General features: G+C 38.7%; 1 protein-coding gene across 6 annotated transcripts in view, besides 5 other annotated features; it reads right to left on the bottom strand.

Moving 5' to 3' along the window:
• Positions 1–17343, bottom strand: part of SPAG6 (sperm associated antigen 6) — a 72115-nt gene extending 54772 nt beyond the window's left edge. For 4 of the 6 annotated variants that reach the window (NM_012443.4, NM_172242.3, XM_005252646.3 and 1 more), the window contains exons 1-2: positions 17203–17343; positions 17021–17116 (exon numbers count right to left, since the gene is read on the bottom strand). In NM_012443.4, the coding sequence (NP_036575.1) occupies positions 17021–17116; positions 17203–17227 (121 nt within the window). In that variant the 5' untranslated portion in view covers positions 17228–17343. Of the gene's footprint in view, positions 1–1971; positions 2084–3302; positions 3429–14705; positions 14823–17020 lie in introns of all 6 variants that reach the window. The other 2 variants (NM_001253854.2, NM_001253855.2) reach the window with 2 other exon arrangements.
• Positions 16498–17314: an enhancer, noted in NCBI's record as "H3K4me1 hESC enhancer chr10:22634454-22635270 (GRCh37/hg19 assembly coordinates)". NCBI's record gives its function as "activates a minimal SCP1, AML or CMV promoter by ChIP-STARR-seq in naive H9 embryonic stem cells {active_cell/tissue: H9 hESC(naive)}" and the evidence as "EXISTENCE:reporter gene assay evidence [ECO:0000049][PMID:30033119]".
• Positions 17275–17494: an enhancer, noted in NCBI's record as "active region_3130". NCBI's record gives its function as "activates an Ori minimal core promoter by ATAC-STARR-seq in GM12878 lymphoblastoid cells {active_cell/tissue: GM12878}" and the evidence as "EXISTENCE:reporter gene assay evidence [ECO:0000049][PMID:35858748]".
• Positions 21767–22186: a silencer, noted in NCBI's record as "silent region_2209". NCBI's record gives its function as "represses an Ori minimal core promoter by ATAC-STARR-seq in GM12878 lymphoblastoid cells {active_cell/tissue: GM12878}" and the evidence as "EXISTENCE:reporter gene assay evidence [ECO:0000049][PMID:35858748]".
• Positions 21767–22556: a biological region, named in NCBI's record as "H3K27ac-H3K4me1 hESC enhancer GRCh37_chr10:22629212-22629998".
• Positions 21770–22556: an enhancer, noted in NCBI's record as "H3K27ac-H3K4me1 hESC enhancer chr10:22629212-22629998 (GRCh37/hg19 assembly coordinates)". NCBI's record gives its function as "activates a minimal SCP1, AML or CMV promoter by ChIP-STARR-seq in primed H9 embryonic stem cells {active_cell/tissue: H9 hESC(primed)}" and the evidence as "EXISTENCE:reporter gene assay evidence [ECO:0000049][PMID:30033119]".

Genomic DNA, 25340 nt, shown 5'->3' with positions numbered 1-25340 from the left:
AGGCCAAGCCCTGTGACCATTTTTGAATTGGGCACAGGGCTTGGGCTGACATTGTATTGTCATTATCGTCGAGCATTACGTTCTTATTTTTTGTTTTTTTGGGTTGTTTTGAAACAGAATTTTGCTCTGTTGCCTAGGCTGGAGTGCAGGGTGCAATCATGGCTCACTGCAGCCTCAACCTCTCAGGTTCAAGCAATCCTCCCACTCAGCCTCACAAATAACTGAGTTCACTGCACCTGACTAATTTTTTTCATTTTTTTGTAGAGATGGGGGTCTCACTATGTTGCCCAGGTTGGTCTCAAACTTCTGGGCTCAAGAGATCCTCCCATCTTGTCCTCCCACAGTGCTGGAATTACAGGCATGAGCCACTGTGCCTGGCCTTACTTCATATTTTTTATAATAAATATGCACTATTTTAATTAAAATAAGTCAATGCTCTAAAAAAGAAAAGCTAAATTTGTTAACATATATTTAAAGTTTCATAATAAATGCATTAATGAGGCAAAACAAGTATGCTTAGAATAGCTTTAAAGAATCACAATTAAGTTTCATGTTATTTTTTCCTGATTATTCTGGGCTTTTTATTTTGTTTTGGGGGGGAAATATATAGATATATACATATATACATATATATCAAGTGGACACATAAATATAAATATATTTTTATATATTTATATAAAATAAATATATATACATAAAATAAATATATAAAATACATATATTTATATATATTTACATCGAATATATAAAATAAATATATATTTATATATACTTATATAGAATAAATATATAAAATAATATATCTATATATTTATATAAAATAAATATATGAAATAAATATATATATTTATTTATGTGCCCACTTGATATATTATGTAAAGGCAGTGGTTTATCATCTTTTGAAATTTTTCATATTGAATTATATTTTGAATTAAATCTAAAGAGCTTTGAACACATATTAAGGATTTAAGAATGAAATAATTTACCTGGCACTCTAATATTTAATTTTAAGTGTTTATTATAGTATTTAATCTATCACAAATCTCCTGATTTTAAAAAATTTTAGTTTATAATTTAGAAGTAAAATATTTTGCCCACTCAAAAAGGTATTAACTATTCCATATACCCAAGGGAACTTTTTTTTCTTTTGAGACGGAGTCTCACTTACTCTGTCACCCAGGCTGGCACCATCTTGGCTCACTGCAATCTCTGCCTTCCAGGTTCCAGTGATTCTTCTGCCTCAGCCATTTAAGTAGCTGAGATTACAGGCATGCACCACCATGCCCAGCCAATTTTTGTATTTTTAGTAGAGATGAGGTTTCCCCATGTTGGCCAAGCTGGTCTCAAAGTCCTGAGCTCAAGTGATTTACTCACCTTGGCCTCCCAAAGTGCTGGGATTACAGGCATGAGCCACCACACCTGGCTGGAATTCTCTTTTTTATATATTTTCTCCATGTTTCTATTGCATCTGGCTCACTGAATATTAATATAAGGCCAATAAAATGACTCACAATTCTCTTCCTTCTATTTCTATATCCAATGTCAAAATTAGGCTTATATGCGATGTTTCTGCTCTATTATAATTTTCCTATATTGTTTAGTTTAGACAGTAGCACAAAGAGAATTTTGAAAAAATTTCAAATCTACAAATTTATATTAATAAAAGCTAAAGTGTCCATTTGAAATATCTGTTGGAATAACCTTATTGGAAAAGAAAATAGTCAAAAATAGTACCCCAAATTTCTAGTCCTTAAATTGCCTCTTAGTGCTTCATAATTATCAGTCCCCATGTGCTTCTCTTCCTCTAAAGAGACATGTTTTTACCTCTTACACATATTAAACATGGAGACTTTGTTATTCTAACTACAAGTTTCTCTTAAAACTACAGATAAATATGCAAGGAAACTGCATAAAAATGGTGACAATGGAAGGAAGGAAGGAAGGAAGGAAATAAAAAGAAATTTTTCTTACCTGCCTGTCCATTAGGTATCCAGAGATCCATGGTGAGTGAATGCATGGAAATTTAGAGTTCACAAATTAAAGCAGTCTGAATAGTTGCCACAATATCTGATAAACAAGGCCTCTAGTAAGGAGCAAACGACATCACTGGGGCTCACTTGAAGGACCCAACATATACTATGTAATATTATATCCAATACTAAAAATAACAATTCACATATTAAACTCAATTATCCATAAAACAATTGTCTGCTCTATAAAAACTGATTAAATTGTGTGAAAATATTTTTGAAATTTAACTTAAAGATAAATCTATACAATGCTCCCATACACATAATTTATAGCTTTGAGTTCCTTGCCTATTTTTCTTATTCTAGTGCTATACTGAAAACACTACCTTTTTTTTTTTTTTTTGTGACATGGTTTTGCCTTGTTGCCCAGGCTGGTCTTGAACTCCTGGACTCCCAAAGTATTGGGATTACAGGTGTGAGCCACTGTACCTGGCCTGAAAACACTGCTTTTAATTCCCACATTGCAATCCAGTTATGAAAAAAAAAAACAAACAAAAACAAGAAGACACTCAAAAATTTAAAAAAAAAAATAGCCACACTGATCCTGTCCACAGTCATTCATTCAAAAAAGATATCAGGGTTAACCACATAGCAAGCAATAGGGATACATATATGACTTAAGTTTTCTTGACACCTACTGTCAAGAAACTAATAGTCTAGTGAAGGAGATTATAAAATAGCCTCAAGACAATCACAACTCTTTCATTTAATTTGTTATAACACAATGCAGGCCAAATTATTTTATTTTGCATGCCAGTGACATATAGAAATCATCAGGAAGAAAATGTCAAGTTTTTCCAATGACAAAAAACACCTCATTCATTCTTACATTAAAGCATATAATTTATATACATATTACATCAGTCTGCTGTCTTACAAAGACATTTAACATTGCAACTTTGTTCTTTTAAAAACAAGTATCCCCCCCAACAACGTTTACCTATGTAACAAACCTGCACATGTACCCCTGAACTCAAAATAAAAGTTAAATGAAAAATAAAACAAAAAGTTTCTGCAAACTGGGCCTTCAGTCCACTTATGTCATAGTAAAGTTATCTTGTTGCCTTGGTTACCTCTAACCTGCTTTTAAAATTTTTTTATTGTGGCAAAATATACATAACAAAATTTATCAATTAAACCATTTTAAGTGTACAATTAAGTGGCATTGAGTACATTTACAGTGTTGTGCAACCACCACCACTATCCATGTCCAGAACTTTTTCATTATCCCTAACAAAAACTCCATACCCAGCTGGGTGCTGTGACTCATACCTTTAATCCCAGCACTTTGGGAGACTGAGGCAGGAGAATCACTTGATCCGGGGAGGTGGAGGCTGCAGTGGGCAAGGATGGTGCCACTGCACTCCAGCCTGGGTGACAGAGTGAATGAGACTCCATCTCAAAAAAAAATCATAAATTTATAAAATATGTTAGATATTTGTTACCATAAATTTTACAAAGCTTTAAAAATTCAAATTCCAACAGTATGCTTCATTTTAATCTAAAGCTACATTCTATGTAACCACTTACTATGACACTACTACTATAGTTCATTCAAGTTTTACAACAAGTGATTTTTGCACAAAATTAACCAATTACACAGTAAAGGATTCACCTTTCACTGTCAATATTACCATCTGACTCAGGCATTCTTTCTGGGGTCCAATAAGAAATAATATAATAGAAACTTCATGCTTTACAAATAGAAGGAAGGTTACATGACTGTCCATGTTGAGAGGCAACAGAGTAAGGTGGTAAAAAGCATGAATCTAGAGGAAAACTAATTGGGTTCAAATCTGGACTCTGCCACTTCCTAGCTGAGGGACCTTGGCAAGACTACTTAACATCTCTGTGCCTCAGTTCCCTCAAATTCTAGGACTACTCACAAAGTTACTGTGAGAATTAGATAAAATTTCTAAAGTTCTAGGAAGATTAGAACAAAATAAACACCATCAAGTGCTTGATAAATAAAAATGCTAAAGAAATCAGTTCTCGAAAACTGGCTAGCCATATGTAGAAAGCTGAAACTGGATCCCTTCCTTACTCCTTATACAAAAATTAATTCAAGATGGATTAAAGACTTAAACGTTAGACCTAAAACCATAAAAACCCTAGAAGAAAACCTAGGCATTACCATTCAGGACATAGGCATGGGCAAGGACTTCATGTCTAAAACACCAAAAGCAATGGCAACAAAAGCCAAAATTGACAAATGGGATCTCATTAAACTAAAGAGCTTCTGCACAGCAAAAGAAACTACCATCAGAGTGAACAGGCAACCTATAAAATGGGAGAAAATTTTCGCAACCTACTCATCTGACAAAGGGCTAATATCCAGAATCTACAATGAACTCAAACAAATTTACAAGAAAAAAACAACCCCATCAAAAAGTGGGCGAAGGATATGAACAGACACTTCTCAAAAGAAGACATTTATGCAGCCAAAAAACACATGAAAAAATGCTCACCATCACTGGCCATCAGAGAAATGCAAATCAAAACCACAATGAGATACCATCTCACACCAGTTAGAATGGCGATCATTAAAAAGTCAAGAAACAACAGGTGCTGGAGAGGATGTGGAGAAATAGGAACACTTTTACACTGTTGGTGGGACTGTAAACTAGTTCAACCATTGTTGAAGTCAGTGTGGCGATTCCTCAGGGATCTAGAACTAGAAATACCATTTGACCCAGCCATCCCATTACTGGGTATATACCCAAAGGACTATAAATCATGCTGCTATAAAGACACATGCACACGTATGTTTATTGCGACACTATTCACCATAGCAAAGACTTGGAACCAACCCAAATGTCCAACAATGAGAGACTGGATTAAGAAAATGTGGCACATATACACCATGGAATAGTATGCAGCCATAAAAAATGATGAGCTCAGGTCCTTTGTAGGGACATGGATGAAGCTGGAAATCATCATTCTCAGTAAACTATCGCAAGAACAAAAAACCAAACACTGCATATTCTCACTCATAGGTGGGAACTGAACAATGAGAACACATGGACACAGGAAGGGGAACATCACACTCTGGGGACTGTTGTGGGGTGGGGGGAGGGGGGAGGGATAGCTTTAGGAGATATACCTAATGCTAAATGATGAGTTAATGGGTGCAGCACACCAGCACGGCACATGTATACATATGTGACAAACCTGCACATTGTGCACATGTACCCTAAAACTTAAAGTATAATAATAATTAAAAAAAGAGAAAAAAATCAGTTCCCTAAATTTACTATATTTTCATCCACATAATTTTATTATTAGTGAATGACTCATTAATTAATACCATCCATTGTAATTAAGAACTATTAAAGGTTCAATGGTCCCATAGTTAGAGGCTTTTTTTGCCATACATTTTTGAATTACTCTTGAATGAGTAATTCATTCAAGATATATCTATCAAGAATATACACAGTATTAAAAACACAATTGTCCTTGACCTCAAGGAACTTCTAAACGGGTTGTGACAGATAATCCCAACATGCTATGATGTATGCCACTATAGGAGAAGTAGAGAGAGCTCTGCAAACATACAACAGAGCATCTAACCCAGGCTTGGAGGGACATGGGGAGGCAACACAGGGGAAAGTGACACTGAAGTTGAGATCTGAAGGCTCTCAGGCAGACTTTGCCTGCCTGCTGAAAAACTGGAGGGGATGGAGAGAAAGGATTGAATAGTATTGCACCCAGAAGGAATGGTATAAACAAAGAGCAAAAAGAGTTTCATATGTTGACAAAACTGAGAATGCAGTGTGACTATAGTGCAAGAAGGGAGACAGGAAGCTGGAGAAAAAGGCTAAGAGATAAATAGAGACAAAAGTCCTGAAGTATCCAATAAACGATTTTAAGTATTTTGAACTTTATCTGAACATTGATGTCAGTGCAGTGACAGGATCAAAGTCACAGTTTGTAAAGAAGGATCACTCTGATTACAGTAGGGAAAAAGGATGACAAGGGACAAGATGAGAGGCAGGGAAGACCACTTAGGAAACTATCATAGTTACCGAGCCAGATATGAAGATAGCCTGGAGAATGGTAATGGCAAAAAGAAAGGTGAAAGTGAAAGGTCTAAGGAGATATTCAGAAGACAAACTGATTATTGGAAAGGAATCAGTGATATTTCCAAGTTTCTGGTTTGGTCAAAGGATGTATAGTTGTTGCCCACTGTTGAAGAAGCCTCAATAAATTCATACTGGCTTGAAACATAAAATGGGAGGAGTGAGGTAGCAAGAGATAAAGCTAAGAAGTTTACTTGGGGTCAGATCAAATTTGGCTGTAGGCCAAACTAAGATTTTCTGATTTTATTTTAAGGGGAAAGGAAAGTCACTGGGGAGCTTTACTGTTTGCCCCACTTACTCTCAGGGAAATTAATAAAAATGAAAACTTTGAATAATTCCAGGTCCACCATGTATAGCTGTGCAGGATGCGTACTGCACAAATCGAAGGAATGCCGTTCACATAGATTGATATAAATGGCACCCCTGAAGTTGTGCAAAGCACAGCACAGCAGCCATCCTTGACACAGCATGTTAAATGGTTCTCTAGTTTGTGTGAATAAATGTCTTATATCCTCAGTAAAATAATAAACCTCTCTAGGCCAGAGCTTGTTTTAAACTTCTTTTCTATTCTTCAAGTGACCTAGCATAGGTAATTTGTAATTTGTTCTCAATATACAGCTAGCCCAACACTTGTGCTAATGGACCTAGAAACTACCATCCACTTTGATTTTAATACTACAACCATTACATATTCTCCTGTTACAGTGTAAGTCTAATTATACTTATCATCCTTACTCTAATAGATTTTTTAATATTTCTGTAACAAATTATGATATTTATATGATGATTTTTACTGAACCAAGTTTCACAACACTGATGAATTGTATAACATGTTCTCATTTCCTTCACTGGTCATTTTTTATTTAAAATTATTTGTGTTCCTCCCCTGCCTTTTTTTAGAATAAGAATTTTCAGGCCTTGATTTGGTTTCTCCCAGCCTTTATTGATTATATACCTCTGGCCATTGTTCCTGCATTTGATTAAGAAATTACAAATTTTGGTATCACATATCTGTTTGCCTTGTTTTCTTGAAATACTTTTTCAGACATAAAGTCAATTGTGATTTAGGGTGTTATCCCTTATAACACACAAAAAGTCTTGTAATTTATCTAAAGTGTCAGATTGAATCACAAAAAGTATGGCCTTTTTACATAGAATTCAATTGTAATAGTAAATAATTCAAGAAACTATTATGAGCAAGAATAATCTGTTTTCTCCTTTGAAATTTATTCTCATTAGCTATAGTATCTTCCAAGTTTTGTTTGGTGATTCAGTGTTGATTCAGTTGTTTGTGAGTAAAGGACTACCATATCTGATATATCATTTTTTAGTGGAAGGGCTGAGAGGAAGGTGGGATGGGGACCAGCACATCATAAATTCATTCACTTATTTAGCAAACACTTATATAGCATTTCCCATGTGCCAGGTACCTCTCTAAGAAATTTACAAATAGTAACCCATGTAACCCTCATTACAATCCAATGAGGTAGATGCTCTTCATGGCTCGCGTCTATGCTCTCCGGTTTCTCCTCCCTACTGTCTATTACAGCCCATTTGCCAAGAAAAACTGGCCTATGTGCCAGGTTTGGAATGTATACCAAAGGGTATATAGTCTGTTGAATTCACATTATTTCTACCATTAGCATTAATCATAACTGTCTTCCATTGTTACTGTATGAAACCAAAATTTAATTCATTTTTCTAGTGCAACTGTCTGACTCTTTTTTTTTTTTTTTGAGACGGAGTCTCGTTCTGTTGCCCAGGCTGGAGTGCAGTGGCGTGATCTCAACTCACAGCAACCTCCGCTTCCCGGATGCCTCAGCCTCCCGAGTAGCTGGGATTACAGGCGCCTGCCACCACACCTGGCTAATTTTTGTATTTTTAGTAGAGATGGGGTTTACCATGTTGGCCAGGCTGGTCTCGAACTCCTAACTTCAGGTGTTCCACCCAACTCAGCCTCCCAAAATGCTGGGTTACAGGCGTGAGCCACCGTGCCTAGCCAGCTGTCCCTTGATTAGGTCCCAGCCACCACCATCTGTCTGTGAGATTCTCAACTGAGTGAGAATGTAGAACATGAAAGCTATGCGAAGTTGGATTTGCATTATACTCCAGATAAAATGATTGGAACTTAACATATTTACAATTACATGAGGAAATATAAAATGGGCTTTTAATATAGTTTTCAAATTAACATGTTAGTTCCACATATCCAAATCTTTCTTTCCAGCTATCTGTCTCCTGAGCCCTAGCACTCTACATCACCACAGTCACTGACGCATGGATATCTCAGACACGCTTCAACCACTGAAGAGTAAAATCACAATTTCTCTCTGCTCTTTGCATCCTTTCTCTACAGATGAATGGTGCTAATGTGTCCAAGCAACCAGAAGTCCAGGAGGCATCTTGAAGTCATCTCTCGCCTTACCTGCCCCAACCCCTACTCCTAAGTCACCAAGTCCTGCAGATGTTACCCCTTTAACATTTCTTATCAAACATGACTGCTATAGCAAAAATGAGCACCCAGTCTCCTGATCCTGATTTAATCCCCTCTTATCTACTCTCCAAAAGACTGCTAAAATTGCCTTTCTAAAACACAAAGTGGATCCCATGACTCTTCCAATTAAAACACTTCAATGGCTTTCCATCAATTCCAGGAGAAATCTAAACTTCATACGAGGCCCTTCATAATTAGACTTGTTTCTTCTCCAACCATGACTGACTCTCCTCTCCTTGCCCTATTACCCTGAGCTCCAGTCATAACTAAACATTGGCCTTTTCCATGAGTACCACCTTTTCTCTTGTCTTTGTGCCTTTACACATAACGTTCCCTCTACCTGAATGCCATTTTATCTGGCTAACTCCTAGGAAATTCAGCACAGTATCTGTGTGATTATATACCTCCTCCTAGATGTCTCCCTTGAACGATATCCCTCATTCCCAAATCTTGAGTAAGGTGCCCTTCGAATAAACAATAATTTATTTATATGTCTTTCCATTAGCAAATAAGCCACTTAAGCACAGGGACTATGCCTCCGATTTTTGCATGGTCCGCATCTAAACATCCATCTGATACTTGGACACTCAATAAATGTGAATAGAATAATGAATAAACCAGCTGTGGAAATTAATGTGCAATTTTCTCTCTTTTCAGGTAAATTTTAGTTAAAATAAAAGCAAAATGGGTAATATTGTGTTCACAGTTGTTTTCTTTTTAGGTACAAGAAGTCAGGTACGTGCGTAGCACTTTAACATAAATTCATAAAGTTTTAAGGAACTCAAGTGGGTCATTCAAACTGTTTCCTCACCTAAAATCACCCCACACCATATAGACAAAACTCTATTTTAATTTGAAAGTCTTTTTAGAGAGCTGCCAATGTTGAATTAGTCCTGCCTTCTCTAACTAATGTGTTTTCTCTTTTACAGTAAATACCTAATTACATCCATCTGTTTGCAGAAGACTGCAATCAGGAATGGGGCAGCACAAAGAATAAACAGGACAGTACTAACAGGATTATCTGCTCCAAGAGTTTTCATAGGTAACATGTGAAGAGAAAATGTATGGAAAGCAATCAGTTTGAAAATCTATCTTTAGATAGAATTAATGTTTTATTTTATTCACACTTCACTACTGTAAAATATTTGAAATAGTTTACTCCAAAATATTAATATATGTATACAAAGGTACAGTCCCACCTCCCCTATGTAGTGGGAAGGAGAACTGATATTTTATCAGAAATGTAGGTTGAAGATAGCTGCTGCAACTGAGTTCTGAACAGAGCACTGAGTTTCCTGGCAGCAAAAGTAAAAAGGAGAACACTTTGTGAAATAAAAATAAGCAGGAACTTTTTTTTCCTGAAATTTCATATCTAGCACCTATATATTATATATTATACCTATACCATGTAATAATAAATATTTTGTTGCTGGGTGCGGTGGCTCATGCCTGTAATCCCAGCACTTTGGGAGGCCGAGGCGGGTGGATCACCTGAGGTCAGGAGTTCAAGACCAGCCTGGTGAAACCTCGTCTCTACTAAAAATACAAAAATTAGCTGGGCGTGGTGGCACATGCCAGTAATCCCAGCTACTAGGAAGGCTGAGGCAGGAGAATCACTTGAACCTGGGTGGTGGAGGTTGCAGTGATCAGAGATCTCACCACTGCACACCAGCCTGGGCAACAAGAGTGAAACTCCGTCTCAAATAAATAAACAAATAAATATTTGTTGAATATGCAAGTTTATCTTCATATTAAGAATTTAACAAGACAGAAAATGTCTTCACAGATTTATAGCAGTTACTGGAAAATCTAAGCATCTATTTTTTTTAAGTAATCCCTCAATTTTTTTTAAAAAAAGGGTGATATATTATTAAACTAAGTCTACAAAGACATTTATATGGGAAACTAATATAATCTAGCCTATGAATATACTTTAATAGTGATTCTAACTTGACGCAGGTATAGAACACAGAATATTTAGAAAAGTGAATAGAGATCATTTCATTCAGACACACACACACACACATACACGCACACACACATATCACTTGTTTTCAGCATGACTTTTTTTTTTTTAGACGGAGTCTCGCTCTGTCGCCCAGGCTGGAGCACAGTGGAGCGATCTCGGGTCACTGCAAGCTCCGCCTCCGAAATTCACGCCATTCTCCTGCCTCAGCCTCTCCGAGTAGCTGGGACTGCAGGCACCCGCCACCACGCCCGGCTAATTTTTTGTATTTTTAGTAGAGACGGGGTTTCACCGTGGTCTCAATCTCCTGACCTCGTGATTCACCCACCTCGGCCTCCCAAAGTGCTGGGATTACAAGCGTGAGACCCCACACCCAGCCACAGCAAGACTTTTAACAGAAACTAAATAAACAATAAATTTTAAGTTGAGCCATCCTTATGAAAGAAAGCATGGATCATATGGGAAAATCAAGATTTCACTTTGAAAATTAGGGAGGCCTGACTTGTATTCACACAGGCCATTCCACGCACTACAAGACAAGGCCAAATTTTTTATCAAGATGTAGCCCTGAATTTCTCCTAAGGCTAGTACAACCACTCAATAGAAATCCCAAAGTTCTGCCCCCGTGAACAAAAAGTACTTTACACAAAGCATGATTAAAAAGCAAGAAATGTTAAGTATATACTCACATCAATCAATCAACAAACACCAAGTGACTCCCACTTCACTGTATTCTACCCCTGGGTGTTTTCAAAAGCCCAGGAGAGCAGTCAGTAAGTCACAGGCAGCTGACAGCCCAGGGCTCTGAAAAATTCTCCTCTAGCCTGCACTTCATGCAGACAGGGTCTCAGTCCAAGGTAGTCTCTGCAGGACTACCTCGGTTCCCAACTTCCAGTGGATTACAAACTTTCCTCTGCGTGCGTTTAAAGAGCTCCTGGTTTGATTAAGATTCTAATTAGAAGCCCAAGGAAGCCTTAAGGCCCTCTAGAGTTCTGAGGCCAGCTTAAACACTAAATACTACTCCCACTCCCTCAAACCTGGAGGAATTTATCAATTAAAGTTAGCCCTCTGCATCTGGCCTCCACTCAAACTCCACGATAGTCCTCAAAGAGACCTCCAAAGCCACCAAATTTTCCAGTTATTGGACAGCCATTGGTACTCAAATACCTAAAGACAGGACTTGTTTCAACAGTTAAAACCAAGGTTTATTAGGAATTCCTAGAATCACATAAAACAGTTTACTAATACGTACAAGTTAAAGTAGAAAGAGCACAAAATGAGGCAGTATTAAAAATGAGTTCTAGTTCCAGTTTGGGGCCTAACTCACTTTGTGAAGAGAACAATTATCCAAACTGTGGATGTGAAAACAATTACTACTTCCAAAAACTTTTCTTCCTCATTCAGTTACTCCTTCCTTCATCCTATTTAATAATTTTGATTATGCTATGCATGGAATTTATGCATAGCATAATGGAGTTAGTGGGTTTAGTGGGGAAAACAAAAATACTGGGAGCAAGGGTACCATAAACCAAGAGATTTAATTTACTGTGAGGGCTCAGGCAAGATTTCCTTGAGGCATCAACACCAAAACAGAGCCATAAAGACTGAGTAGAAATTAGTTAGTCAAATAAGTATAGGGAAAGATTTCAGGCAGAAGTGCAAAGGTCCTGAAACCTCATTCGAATGTAAAGTAGGATTATGGCATACCTAAATAACTTTTCAAAAACTTTTGAAAATATCAAAACTTTAATCTGTAAAATTTAACCTATGAAATTTGCTATTTGTAAGCCTTCTTATAGGCTCATCTACAGCTTAGTTTTTTTTAATTGTCCATTTTTTTTCTAAGGAAACAATTAGAGCCTAACCCTGACTCTATTATTTTCTACTATGTACCAATGCTCAGCTAACAAAACAGATCAATGTCCATGTAGGAACAGTGGTTTGGAACACAGAATAAAATTCTGACTAAGCTTTTGTTTTTAGAACTTATTGTTTGGTGCATATACAAAGACAGAATGTGTATAGCTCCTTGGCATATTTTCCACTTAAGCATATGTAGCAAACCTCTCTATCCCTATCTTTTAAGAAGAAGTCAGTGTTTTGAGTTCATTATCGTTCATATTCACAACTGCTAAGACTCCTTCTATACCAAAAAAAAAAAAAGTCAAATTTAAATAGCATGATTGGTTAAATTTTTTGTAGTTGCTTTGTTAATTTTCTTTTCAGTTTCAATATCCTTTGAAACAGCAGGTTTGTAAGAGGATCATAGCACATGTACATATCAAGGTATGTCTTAAATACATGATAAATGCTTACTCAGGGCTTTTCCTTCTCATAGCATATTAAGAGGTACTAGATAGTTAATCTGGAGCTTTTACCCTGCTCCAGATACATGTAATCTAAAATCACTTTATGTCAACAGCATATTTGACTTATTTTCTTGAATTCTGAACCCATTAAGTTGCCTCAATCTGAAAATTAGCTTCATACAGGTGCACATTTAAAGTGTTACGCAAACTTATTTATTCCTACTCTTCTGAAAATGTGCATAACTACTGATTTGCTATGTTCTACTATAGGTTGTAATATGTAAAATTTTGAGTAATATTTTAAACTTTACCCCACTTATATAAATAGCTGGTTCAGGAAAAGTGTATTTTATATAGCTAAGTTTAAAAGTCATTTTCTTGGAGCTTCTATTAGTGTATTTCAAAAGACCTCCTAAACAGAACTAAAAGTGGCCTGGTGTTCCAGTAAGCCACAAAACATGTTTCTTATATTTTATAACTAACAAAACACCTCCAATTGCTGAAATTTTACAATTGGTAGAAGTAACAATGTATTATCTCTACTATTACAGTCATGTGTTACTAATTATTCAGACGGGAAGTATCAAAATTTGTTTTTAAATAGCTGCAAGAGGTAATGGTTCAAACATATAGAATTTGAGAGTACATAAAGAAATTTTATAACAGACATTAAACTTTTTAATTGTTCATATGAGTTCTTTTAATTTAGAGGAATAAAACCTCAGTGAGGAAAAAAAAAAACACCTCAAGGTTATAGATGCTTTGTACACCGTTCTTTCTAGTAATAATTTTGTTTAGAAATCAAACTTACTACCCAGGCGTGGCGGCTCAGGCCTTTAATCCCAGCACTTTGGGAGGCTGAGGCGGGTGGATCCTTTGAGGTCAGGAGTTCGAGACCAGCCTGGCTAAACATGGTGAAAACCCTTCTCTATTAAAAAAACAAAACAAAACAAAACAAAAATTAGCCAGGTGTGGTGGTACGCACCTATAATCCCAGCTACTCAGGAGGCTGAGGCAGGAGAATCACTTGAGCCTGGGAGGCAGAGGTTGCATTGAGCTGAGATAGCACCACTGCACTCCAGTCTGGGCGACAGAGTGAAACCCTGTCTCGAAAACAAAAAAGAAGGAAATCAAACTTAATCTTTTCCAAATAACTCTGAAGAAAAGATCTTGCAACATACTTTGTCTGCTTTGGCAATTACTTTGGACATATTTAATAAAGCAAATTCTCTTATTAGTGTATAAAAAACACAATAAAAAAGATTGGAGACTTAAAATGAAATAAAAACTCCATTGACAATTTTCACCTTTAATATTCCTTTCACATAGAATAAATTCAAAAATTCTTAACAAGGGAATTACTGGTTTGATCATGATACCCATATGGAAAATATTTTTTACATTATCTTGGATCCATGATATATATTTACTTAGCATATTGGAGGGAAAAATGAGAAAACAAACAAAATCTTCCAGGTATGTAGACAGTATGTCAAAGTCAGGAGTAATATGCATTGGTATCTGAAGCTACCAAATGAAGGCATTTGACTGAAAAAAAGTTTGACCATAATGTATAATTGATTTACACATACTGAGGCTCATTCTAAAGCCCTTTTTTAAAATTGTAATTTTTTAAAAGAACAAATCATTTGAATGGTTAAGTAAACTGACTATTAAGAAAGAAAACTGGCCGGGCGCAATCCCAGTGCTTTGGGAGGCCAAGGCGGGTGGATCACAAGGTCAAGTGATCGAGACCATCCTGGCCAACATGCTGGAACCCCGTCTCTACTAAAAGTACAAAAATTAGCTGGGCATGGTGGCGCACACCTGTAGTCTCAGCTACTCAGGAGGCTGAGGCAGGAGAATCGCTTGAACCTGGGAGGCGGAGGTTGTAGTGAGCCGAGATCATGCCACTGCACTCTAGCCTGGCAACAGAGCAAGACTCTGTCTCAAAGAAAGAAAGAAAAGTTTTCATAACAAAGTTTACAGGTTCTTTTTTAATCAAAAGAATAAATACATTGAATATTCATTATGTCTGTATTTAAAATTGCTAAAGGAATGCTTGAATTGAATCTCGATAACATGAAATTTGTTAAAAATAAGTCCCTCAGGAAAAGAAACATTTTAGCATGCTACCCAGATATTAGTCAAGTGCAGAGAATTTCAAAACATAAAGTTATATTCCTTTCGTATTCATCTTTCCTAAGCCAGACCATAAGTGTAGAATCTTATATCTAAGCCACTTATACAGTCAATTTGGATTAAGTTCCATTGTGAAGTCTACATTGCACTCTTATGGGAGGAGCTAACCTGCCACTACTCACTAAAACATGATACTCCGTATCTTAAAAGTTATGTATACTTTAACATCTCAGTATTAAAATTTGAAAATAATATCAATTATTTTCCCATTTTAAAAGTTTTAGTTTGGCTATATTCATATTGTCCAGAAACTAAATCTTTGTTAAGTAGTAAATGTCCATTCACAAAGGTCATTGAGAGGGACTGAGAGAAAAAACTTTAAAAGTTTACACTTTAAAATTACTTTTAAATACACTTCTAAAATGTAACATGTTCTAATACCTTAGTCTGTGTTAGTCTGTGTATATGAAATACTGTGTGCCCAGTATTGTTCTGGGTACTTGGAGGAGTACGGGTGCATACACACACACAGAATACAGAAAATCAACCCATATAAAACAACTATAGAACAAAGGATTATCAATTCTGAAATGACAAAATTTTAGAAATGGAGAAGAGATTAGTGGTTGTCCAGGGTTAGGGATAGCAGGAGGTGTGTGTGGCTATAAAAGGGCAAGAGAGAGGATCCTTGTGACAATGAAAGTGTTCTGTATCTTGACTGTGCTGGTGGTGGATACGCACGGAATAAAATTCTATAGGACAAAACACACACACACACGAACAATTAAAAGGAGGAAACCTATATAAGATCAACGAATTTTTATCAATGTCAATGTCCTCCTTGTGATATTGCACTACAGTTTTGAAAAATGTTACCATTGGGGAAACTGAGAAAAGGGTACACGGGATCTCTCTGTATTATCCCTTACAGTTGTGAATCTACAATTATTTCAAACTAAAATGCGTTTAGAAGATTATAAAATATACTTTATTGTAAATACATGCCCCCCAATAAAAACACACAAGGAATAAATGCCAAAAATCCTAGTGACAAAACGAAGTATCACATAGGTGCAGTAGTAATTCCCCTCAAAGAAACCCAGAGTAATCATTACACTTAAGTATTCTTGCTGTCAACATGTTAATTGTTTAAATTATGTGTTAGTTTTAAAGATCACATCCTATAAACTGAAGATTTCTCATGACACAGTAGTGATAAAATGCTACCTTACAGTTCAGATGGTGGTAGAATCATCCAAAAAAAAAGAAGAAGAAAGAAGAAAGAAGAAAAGAAGAAGAAGAAGAGGAAGAAGAAGAAGAAAGAAGAAGAAGAAGAAGAAGAAGAAGAAGAAGAAGAAGAAGAAGAAGAAGAAGAAGAAGAAGAAGAACCATTTTCTCTTATCAGTTTATGTTATGAGATAAGAAGATCTCTCTCCCTCCCTCTCCCCCTCTCTCCCCCTCTCACATCTGCAAGAGTCCGGACTGAGGAGTAGAAGGAACGCGCCATAAGGATTTCGCAAAGTCTGGTCTCTACCTACTTGGAATTTCTTGGAAAAGATTCAAGCATATCATTCCCCTTTCACTAAAGCAAGACGAGAAATCACGTCTAAACCACTGGAATTGCTTTGCTGTGAGGAAGTCGAAGGTGATCAAAGGCAGGGTGGCATGCAAAATGGCACTTGGATAAAATGGGTCTCATTAGGGTAGAGTCCCATTCACGTAAAATGACTCCAGGCAATTCCTAGGGCCTCGACTTTCAACCTGACACTTGCCTGTGTGCAATGAAGATGGAAACAGGGACAACGCGCACCTCCCACAACCATCTGGAAGCTTCACCCTCTCGGCCTGACCCCCAAAGACCCGCTGAAAAGAATGGATGCTTTTGCGAACTCCGGTCCCCACACTGCGGCTCCCCAAGAGCTCCACGGGCAGGGCAGCGGGGCGGAGGCGTCGGGGACTCAGTGCGCGGGGGGCGACGGGGGTTCGGGCTCCGGGCTCACCCGCGTTCTGCAGCGTCTCGATGTTTTGGGGTCTAGTCGCCAGCTCCGCCACCATCTGCACGAACTGGGTCCTGGCCTTCTGGTATTGCTCGAACACTGCGGGAGAGAGAGTCGGTGGAGCCCACCGCACCCGGGTCTCCTCGGCGCCAGCTAGTTAGGGCACCTGCCCGCCTCGGCCCTACCTTGCAGCACCTGCCTCTGACTCATGGCGCCCCCGCCGCCGTCTGCCCTCCTCGAGCTCTGCGGGGAAGCCGCTCGGCCTGCGAGTCCACCAAGGGGGCGATCGTGGCGACGACTCGGCCTCCGACGGGAGCCGCTTCTCTGTGTACCCGCGTCTCCCGGGCAACCTACCGGAACCGGAACGCGGCCGTCTTGCTGCAACGGCCAGTCCCGGGCGTGACGTCACGGCCGCGGTGCCTGGGCGCACTGAGCGGGGCGGCGGCGCGAAGACGCCCGAGCTCGAGGACTCGGACTGCTGGGGCTCTCAGCGCGCCAGGCTCGCGGAGCCGCCGGGACATCGCGCGCCGTCGAGTATCCCTGCACTGCCCGGAGGTCGGAGCTCCTTACAAAGCGACCCCAGATTGCCGTGGTATCCTGACTGCGGCGCGGGTCGGGACCAAGCGCCGGGAGAGCCCCACGCGCCAAGGGAGCCTGGTTCGAGGGCAGCCAGACGAGTAAATTGCAGCCCTGGAGTTGTCTGAGCTTCGACGGTCCCGAGAAATCTCACACGTCACATTGTACAATCCGATCAACACATGAATGTCAATGCAACTTAAGTGTTGCATTGACATTTAACACTGCACTGACAGTAAAACACTGATTTAGGAATCCGTGTTTTCTTTTGTAACCCGCTGTTATATACCTGGCATTCCTGGTTTCAAGATTCCTGGAGGAGCATGACAACCATGTTCACACACTTAATTACACTGTATTGAAAGCATTTAATGAGCACTCAGAGACTCAGTGAGGAAAGCAGATGAGGAAAGGATGTGATGAATGTCCTGTCTTCCCTGGCTTTCTCCTAATGACTACTAATTTTGCTGTTTCCTCACTTTTATGTGATTTGTAAATATTTTGTCTTAGTCTTTTAAATTTAGGCTTCGTTATGTTGATGAATGACATCTCCAACAGAAAAAGAGAGAGAACCTTTACCTGGAAAACCAGACTTCCCTATCTTATATAACTTGAACCCTTTACCCAGTTTCTTTTAACAAAATTGAAGTACTTAGTCTATTACTGGTTTCTAGCTTGTCTTTGAAAACTATATACCAGTTGTTTCAATGACAGTTGTCAACTTTAAATGTTCCTCCATCAAAAACTACAATTTCACCAGATGTCAAGTGGATACATAGCCGCAGCTGCTGCTAAGTAGTGCCAAGACAGGAAACCCCTTGATATTTCTTCAACAGAAGGGAGCATGCAAACTTAACTGGTTCTATATTTGGAATGAGTCCTCTATATTTATCTTTGAGATCTCACCCTTCACTGAGCTCTTGATGAAGTCCTGATACTTTGTGGAGCTCCAAATAGTTGGGGAATGGTCCAGCAATCAGAGAGAAGAATAAGTGTGTTTAGTCGGGTCCCTAATACCCCCGAAGGGCAGGTACATGTCTTCTGCTTCTGCAGCTCAAAAGCCAGTGATGGCCACAATCTTTTTACTTAATTCAAAGTCGTAAGTTTTACAGTGATATCTATATTTCCCTATGGGAATATGTCCTTTAAAATTAAAGTTATGCGTTCCCATTTAGAGACGTGGGAGGAAACAGATTGAGTAAATAATTAAGATTGCAAATAAGCCTTGTAATTTTCAGTTCCTTGTTGAATGATGAAAAAAAATCCCCTTAAAAGTTTTTATATTTGGTTTCAGTCCTTAAACAAACAATTCAAACTCTTAAGCTACTCCAACTGCCATTTTTAGCAACTGCTTTACTATTTGTTTTCCATTTTAAAAGTGTTAAGAGCTCAATAGAGGGGGAGAGGTCTAAACCTATAAACATAACACAGTATGGGATGCTACTAAGTTCTTTGAAAACATACGTTCAAAAGCTATGTAAATTACTTTAGAGTCTGAGTATCTGTTATTAACAATATCTTTTAGTTAAATTGTATTATTCCTGATAAAACATAATATAGGATGCCTACTTCATATCTGAAATTGGACATATTAAAGAAGCTTGATCTTTGCTCTTTATTTTAGGTTCCTTCTTAAAAAAATCTTAAAAACTAAATGGAGAAATGTATGTAACACAGAGTGATTACAATATGCATATAAGTGAAATTATTAGTAATTCAAGCATAAAATATGGCAGATTACTTTTACTGACAAGAAAACCAATCTGTATTTTCTGACCCATTTTTCAATGTACTAACTCTAAAACAAAATACTATTCTGTTTTCTAAAGTTAAATGAATGTCCCATGATCACATACACACCTCTAAACTAACAGTTAAGCAATGAAAAAGAAAACAATTCAAAGGGATACTTCGGTATTTTAAAAAGTATTACAGGAAGATTACTGTTCTTAAAGTACCAGCTGACTTTAGAGATATACAATGTAACTGGCACATAAGACTATACATTTGATTGAGAATGAACCATTAGCTGAACAACTTGCAAAAAAGTGTTTCCATGAAAGGTTTGTTTGGAAGCCTTTGGCTACTTTTGTAAAACGCTAATCATAATATGTAACTTCAAAATCACTTTTTCAAATATTTCCTCCTTTATTTATGAAAATGAGACTGAAAATGACAACAAAATAAAGCCAGTTTTAAAATCTTGTTGTTTCTCTTTGCATACCTCCTTTGAGAATTCAGAAAATCCTATTATCATGGGAATATATGCTATACATACCTAAAAGAAGCTTTGCTAATTTTAACACCCATGTATTTTTTCTTCAGTTCCTAGCTGAATTTTAAAATTTAAAGATTTATATATGCTAATTAGATATTAATATCTGCATTTTAAAACTGTCATTGAGTTGAATCAAGTGTTTATATATATTCTGCATCAAGCCTAACACGTATTCATTATTAATGTGTGTCAAACACCTTGCTAATAACAGAATGTGCCTTTCTTCCAGGACATGAAGTCTAGTAGCAGATAGACATCACTTCATTCTACCAGCATATATACCGCAGCCTGCATTCATTCAATGGGCATGTACTGCAGTCTGCCACTGTTTTAAGGGCTGTAATTGCTCTAAGTGCTATTAGTGTTTTGGGGGCAAAGATGAGGGACTTATGGTAAAGTAGGCGAAGAAGTGAGAATACCTAAAACATCATTTAAATAACAAAAGGCTTCTTGTTTTTAATAAAAATTAGCTGAGTTCTATGCAGCTATGAAATTTCCCTCCCCTAAAATAATTTTTTCCCCAAAATCATTGTTAGCATTTAAGAAGGCATTCAACGGGCAATTGCATGTAATTACTGAAGTTATGAGACTACATTAATCATTTTGCAAACACTAAATTTAAAATTACTAAAATAATTCATAGTTACATACTGGAATTAAAAATAAAGGCATTACTTAGTCCATAACCAAGTTGGTGGAACAGAAATATTACCTATAATGATGAAAGTAAACATGACTATCTTAAATGGTGCATCGCGCCTCTTTTGGGAAATAATGTCAGGATTTTAGGTCTGAGCCGACCACCCAGTTATTTCATCAAGTTTGTCAGCAGAGCAGAAGAGACTTGCACACTTCCATCCGGGAAGGGAAGATTGAAATTTCTATGCATGTTTTGTGTTTATGCCTTACTCCCTATTCTTCGCTTTTCAAACCTTTTAAAGTCAACTCTTTGCATTTTAAAGTTTTTCTTTTTAGTATTAAGGTCAATGTCAAGATGACAGTGGTTTAACTGGCCCCAAACTCCTAAATATATACCTGTACCTGTCTTCCTTTCCAGTAATTCAGAGGATGAAGAGATGGAACTAATCTTTTCCACTTCCAAAGAAACCCGTGATTGGGGGATTCCACACACGAATAATTTTGCTTCCCCAAAAGGCACCATGTAGTGCAAAGTGATTGATACTAAAAATGGGGGCTTTCAATGTATAAGTCCGAAATGCAGCATGCCGTTTTCTAAGGCGGTGGTGACATGCATAAAAACAAATTATTGGAGCTTGGTGTGTGAGTGTGATATAAATATCTTCCGTTTGGACTTGCGTGCGTTTTCTTAAGTAATTCAAAACTGTGCCCAAAGCCTGCATCACGAGCTGGAAAACACTAAGCGCCCTGCTCCAGATGCCGGTCAGCCCTCCCGCTCAATACCTCCCACCCCTTTAAAATGTTGGCGTTGTTGGACTTGTGTCAGAGAAGGTCCGTACTATCTTCTCCACCCTTTAATCAGTGCAGGACACAGCAGACAAAGACAGAAAGTGCCACATAAGAAACGACTCTAGAGAGCCCACCAAGCCCGCGTCCGGGTCACGCATCCCCTAGGTGCGTGTCCCGTGGGGATTGCGCCCCGGCTGGCCGCCCGCCTCGAGCCGAAGCCGGACGCCGGCAGGTCCCCAAGCGGGGTGTCCACCGGGTCGGCTCTCCTGGGCGCTGGCAGGCTGCCGCGTCCAATGTGGACAGGAGTGTCGGGCCGAGGGCAAGGGAAGAACGTGGTCCTCCCCGACTTCCTCGGCTTTTCCCATTCTTCCTAAGTTTCTCCAACTCCAAAGAGCAGCTTCGCGGTGTCTGCGAAGTTTCTAACGGGGGAGGCGGCGCTGGGAGCAGGCCGGGAGCGCGGGCGGGGGCCCAGCGGGTGTAGCGGGAGGAAGGGGCGGGGGCGCGCGGCCCCAAGGCGTCAGTGCGGAAGCGCCCAGCGGGCCGGGGGTTCCCTCCCGCGGGGCCTCCCGGGGCGGACCCGGGTGCGGCGGCCGAGATGCGGGCGGTGGAGGGGGCAGGCCCCGACTCTTTCGCTCCCTCCGCGCCGCGGGCCGCCGGCCTGAGCTGGGAAAGGCGCGGCGGGCGGCTGGCGAGGAAGGAGGCCTCTGTCCTTTCACTTTGCTTCCCGGGCCAGGCCTCCAGCTGGAGCCGCACTGCCGCTCGGGGGCCGGGGCGAAGGTCCCTGCCGGAGCCTCCCGGAGGAGCGGCTGCCCCGCGGGCGGGGGAACGGTGCGGCCAACTCGCGGGGGCGAGCCCGGAGCCGGCGGAGACCGGAACCCGGGAACCCAGGCCCCGCGGCGCTAGCGCTGCCAGAAAACTCGCTGCGGCCGCGCCGGTCGGCCTACTTCGCCCCGGCTGTCCGCGCGCGGGACGTAGAAGAGCGCCCTGGCCGGGAAAGGTGGGGAGGGGCTTCAGGCTCTTTCTTGCTGGAGTAGGGTGCGGAATCCCGTACCGCTTTACAGCTGCTGGCCCCCTAGGACCCCGCGGCGCAGGCCGGATCCCAGAGGCGGGGATAGGAGCCAATAGCTGATACAGACAAAAAAATAAAAAGCAGCTGTACCTCATTGCGCATGTGCGAGCTTCGTTTTTTTTTTTAATTTTTTGACGTCATTTCGCGATATCAAGTCCCAAGCCAAAATGTCTTGTGCGTTGGTTACTCTGAAGAATAATGGACTGTATGTTCTGACTCCTGGAAATTACTGCAAAAGTACCGAGAGATGGTTTTCAAGTTTTCTCAAACGTTTGAAAAAAAAAAATAGTGTTTCCTGTTTAACCACTCTATCTGTCCGTTTTTTCCCCAGAGATTATCTGAGCCGAGAGTGAGCTCCGCTAAAACGTAGGCTAAATTCGAGGACACGGTGGCACTACATCTCATTCTTTCAGAGGAGATGCTTGCACTACAGTTTGGACCCTTGCTTTTTGACATTTCAGAGAAAACATCTAAATATTGCTAAAGCTGGATTACTTTACCTCCTACTCCAATATTACCTAATTTTTTTACGGTGAAAAAATAAAAGTTCCTATATGAACGATATAAAAGATGAACTGCCTATATGAAGAAAATACTAATACTTTTCCCATCAGTAAGACAAATCTGGTCTTAAGGAATTGAATTATAAAGAAATGCTTTTTATTCAAGGAATGCTTTTTTTTTTTGCCCTAGTGAAATAATATGCAATTGCTTATCATTTTACTTATAAGTCAAGGGTAACAGTCTTAGAAATTTACAAGTAAAGCTGAACGTATGCAAATAATTTCAATATATATATGGTCATATCCCAAAGAGAAACAATTTACTAATAATTCCTGGCTTAAAGAGTGTCTTGCAATACTAAAAACACACAATGGGTAAATGAAAATAGAGATCTCTTGTAGCCCAACTGAATAGAAAAACATTGAATTTTTTTTAAAATGTGGTTTATGTGTAATGCCTTAAATGTATGGCAGAAGTTTAAGAGAGAAACCAAGTAACTGAATCAGTTCTCTTTCTGGGAAAGGATATTCCCAGAACCCACTGCAGACCATGATAATGTAATAGACTTTTGTTGCACTAGAGTCTCTTTTTAGGTTTAGAGAGGCTATATAAATTGTGTATATTAAAGTTCAGGAAAATGCAGTTTCCTAAGTCTATTTTAAAGGTTGCTTGCAGAATTCAATGACAAGCTTACTTTATTGTAATGAATTTCCTAAAAAGTGTTCTCCAAACTGATAAGCATTGTAATAAGAATTATTTGAGCAGAGTGATCACTTGGTGAAAGTGAGGGGGAGTTCCACTGAATCTAGTAACTTCCATCTCCTTAGAAAATGATGGGACAGTTTGAGGAAAACCCCAATGAAAATGTCTTAAGAAAATTGTCATGAGGCATATTTAGAAAGAAACAGCTGGTAAACACATTTTCCCAAGCTTACTGTAACTGAGTTCTTCAGTTACCCTAGAAAAACTGTAATGTATCATGTTCAAAACAAAAACACTCTCCTGAGGTAATTACTGATAACATTAATTTGTCTGATTCATGAACAGCTATTAATAAAAGCTTCTGAAACATCACTGTATCTTCTCAGTACAATTTACTCATAAGTTTTTTGGAAGTGTACTTGCCGAACTTAGGAGTTTTGTTGAGAAGGTTGGAAAGAAGTCAAAAATTGAGTGGTAATAAGATTCTATAGAAATGTAACCGATTCCAATAAAAAGTCCTCTGTACGGAAGTACATTATGGAAATGACGTGGTTGTCAGACCTAATTGCTTGGCTTTTGAGTTCTCAGAGAAGAAATTCTACAGCCTTAGGGGTGTAGCCTCAAAAGCAGCAGCGTTCCTGGTTTCAGTTTAAATAAAACAATGAAATCCATCATTATTCAAGTCAATAGCGATAATTCACATGAATATGAATGCACTTTGATCTTATCCTTCAATTCATTGAAAGACAGTCGTAATGAAAAAGGGAGATAATCTCTTTAACTTGGTCCAAAGCAAGTTGTTGGAGCTTTTCTTTCCTGAAAGACCGTAGCAAGGAACTTTTCACTAAAGCCTTGCTTTCCTATTTTTAAGGTGCTGATGGGGGTGGTTTGGCAAGCTACAGGTCGTTATGCTCCCTCTAGGAACCAAGCAGTGCTTTCTTCTTTTAGGTAAACTGTCTTATTTAATGAACTTGATATTTTGTGAAGCTTAAAGGTGAACCTCTTTTAATAATATACCTAAGAGTCATTTCAGGAGGCATTAATTTGAGTTTACCATCACTTGTGATTGAGACATACTATTTTCAGTATGCTTTAAAGCTTATTTAAATTAAAGAGGATATTTCAAGGTGCCTTGTCTTAGTAGATTTGCAATATCCAACGCTAGATCCTTAAGCATTCCTGTCCAGCTGTAAAGACAGTTAATGACATGTCTGTGCTATCAGAAAGTATGAAAGCACTTTAAAGTTGCACCTTACTTGTGGCTATTTAACCAAATTTTTAGACACTAGATGAGAAATTAGCAGTTTCAAGTTCTTATGTACAATTTGTCATTCTCCTTAGAATCCTGAAAACATGTGTCAGATATTTTAACATACAATCTATGGCATTTGAAATATAATTAAGTTAAATATTCATGAATGAGAATATCTGATAATGCTACCAGCTTGGAAATTGTTTAGCTTTTCATTGAGTTCATTAAAGATATCCAAGCTTTCTGCTAGTTATCAGTAAGTTAGTTTTTTTCCTAATAAGAGTTGTTGAGACTTCTGAAATTCCCTGGAAGTCCGACAAATATTTGTTATGTTCAAAGGACTCTGACGCTTACAAAGATGAATAAGGCAGGTGCTTATCCTCAGGGAGCTTTAAACTTGGAAATTTCAGCACATTTGTGATTTACAAGAAATTTTAACCCATTAAGACCACTCAGCTAACAAAGCCGGGACAATTATTAAGAGCGAAGAAATTTGGCAATGCACATATTTCCC

This window comes from Homo sapiens, chromosome 10 (assembly GCF_000001405.40).
Source record: "Homo sapiens chromosome 10, GRCh38.p14 Primary Assembly".
Classification (NCBI taxonomy): domain Eukaryota; kingdom Metazoa; phylum Chordata; class Mammalia; order Primates; family Hominidae; genus Homo; species Homo sapiens.
Note: the sequence above shows the minus strand (reverse complement) of the source record. Positions and strands in the feature narration are given on the sequence as shown.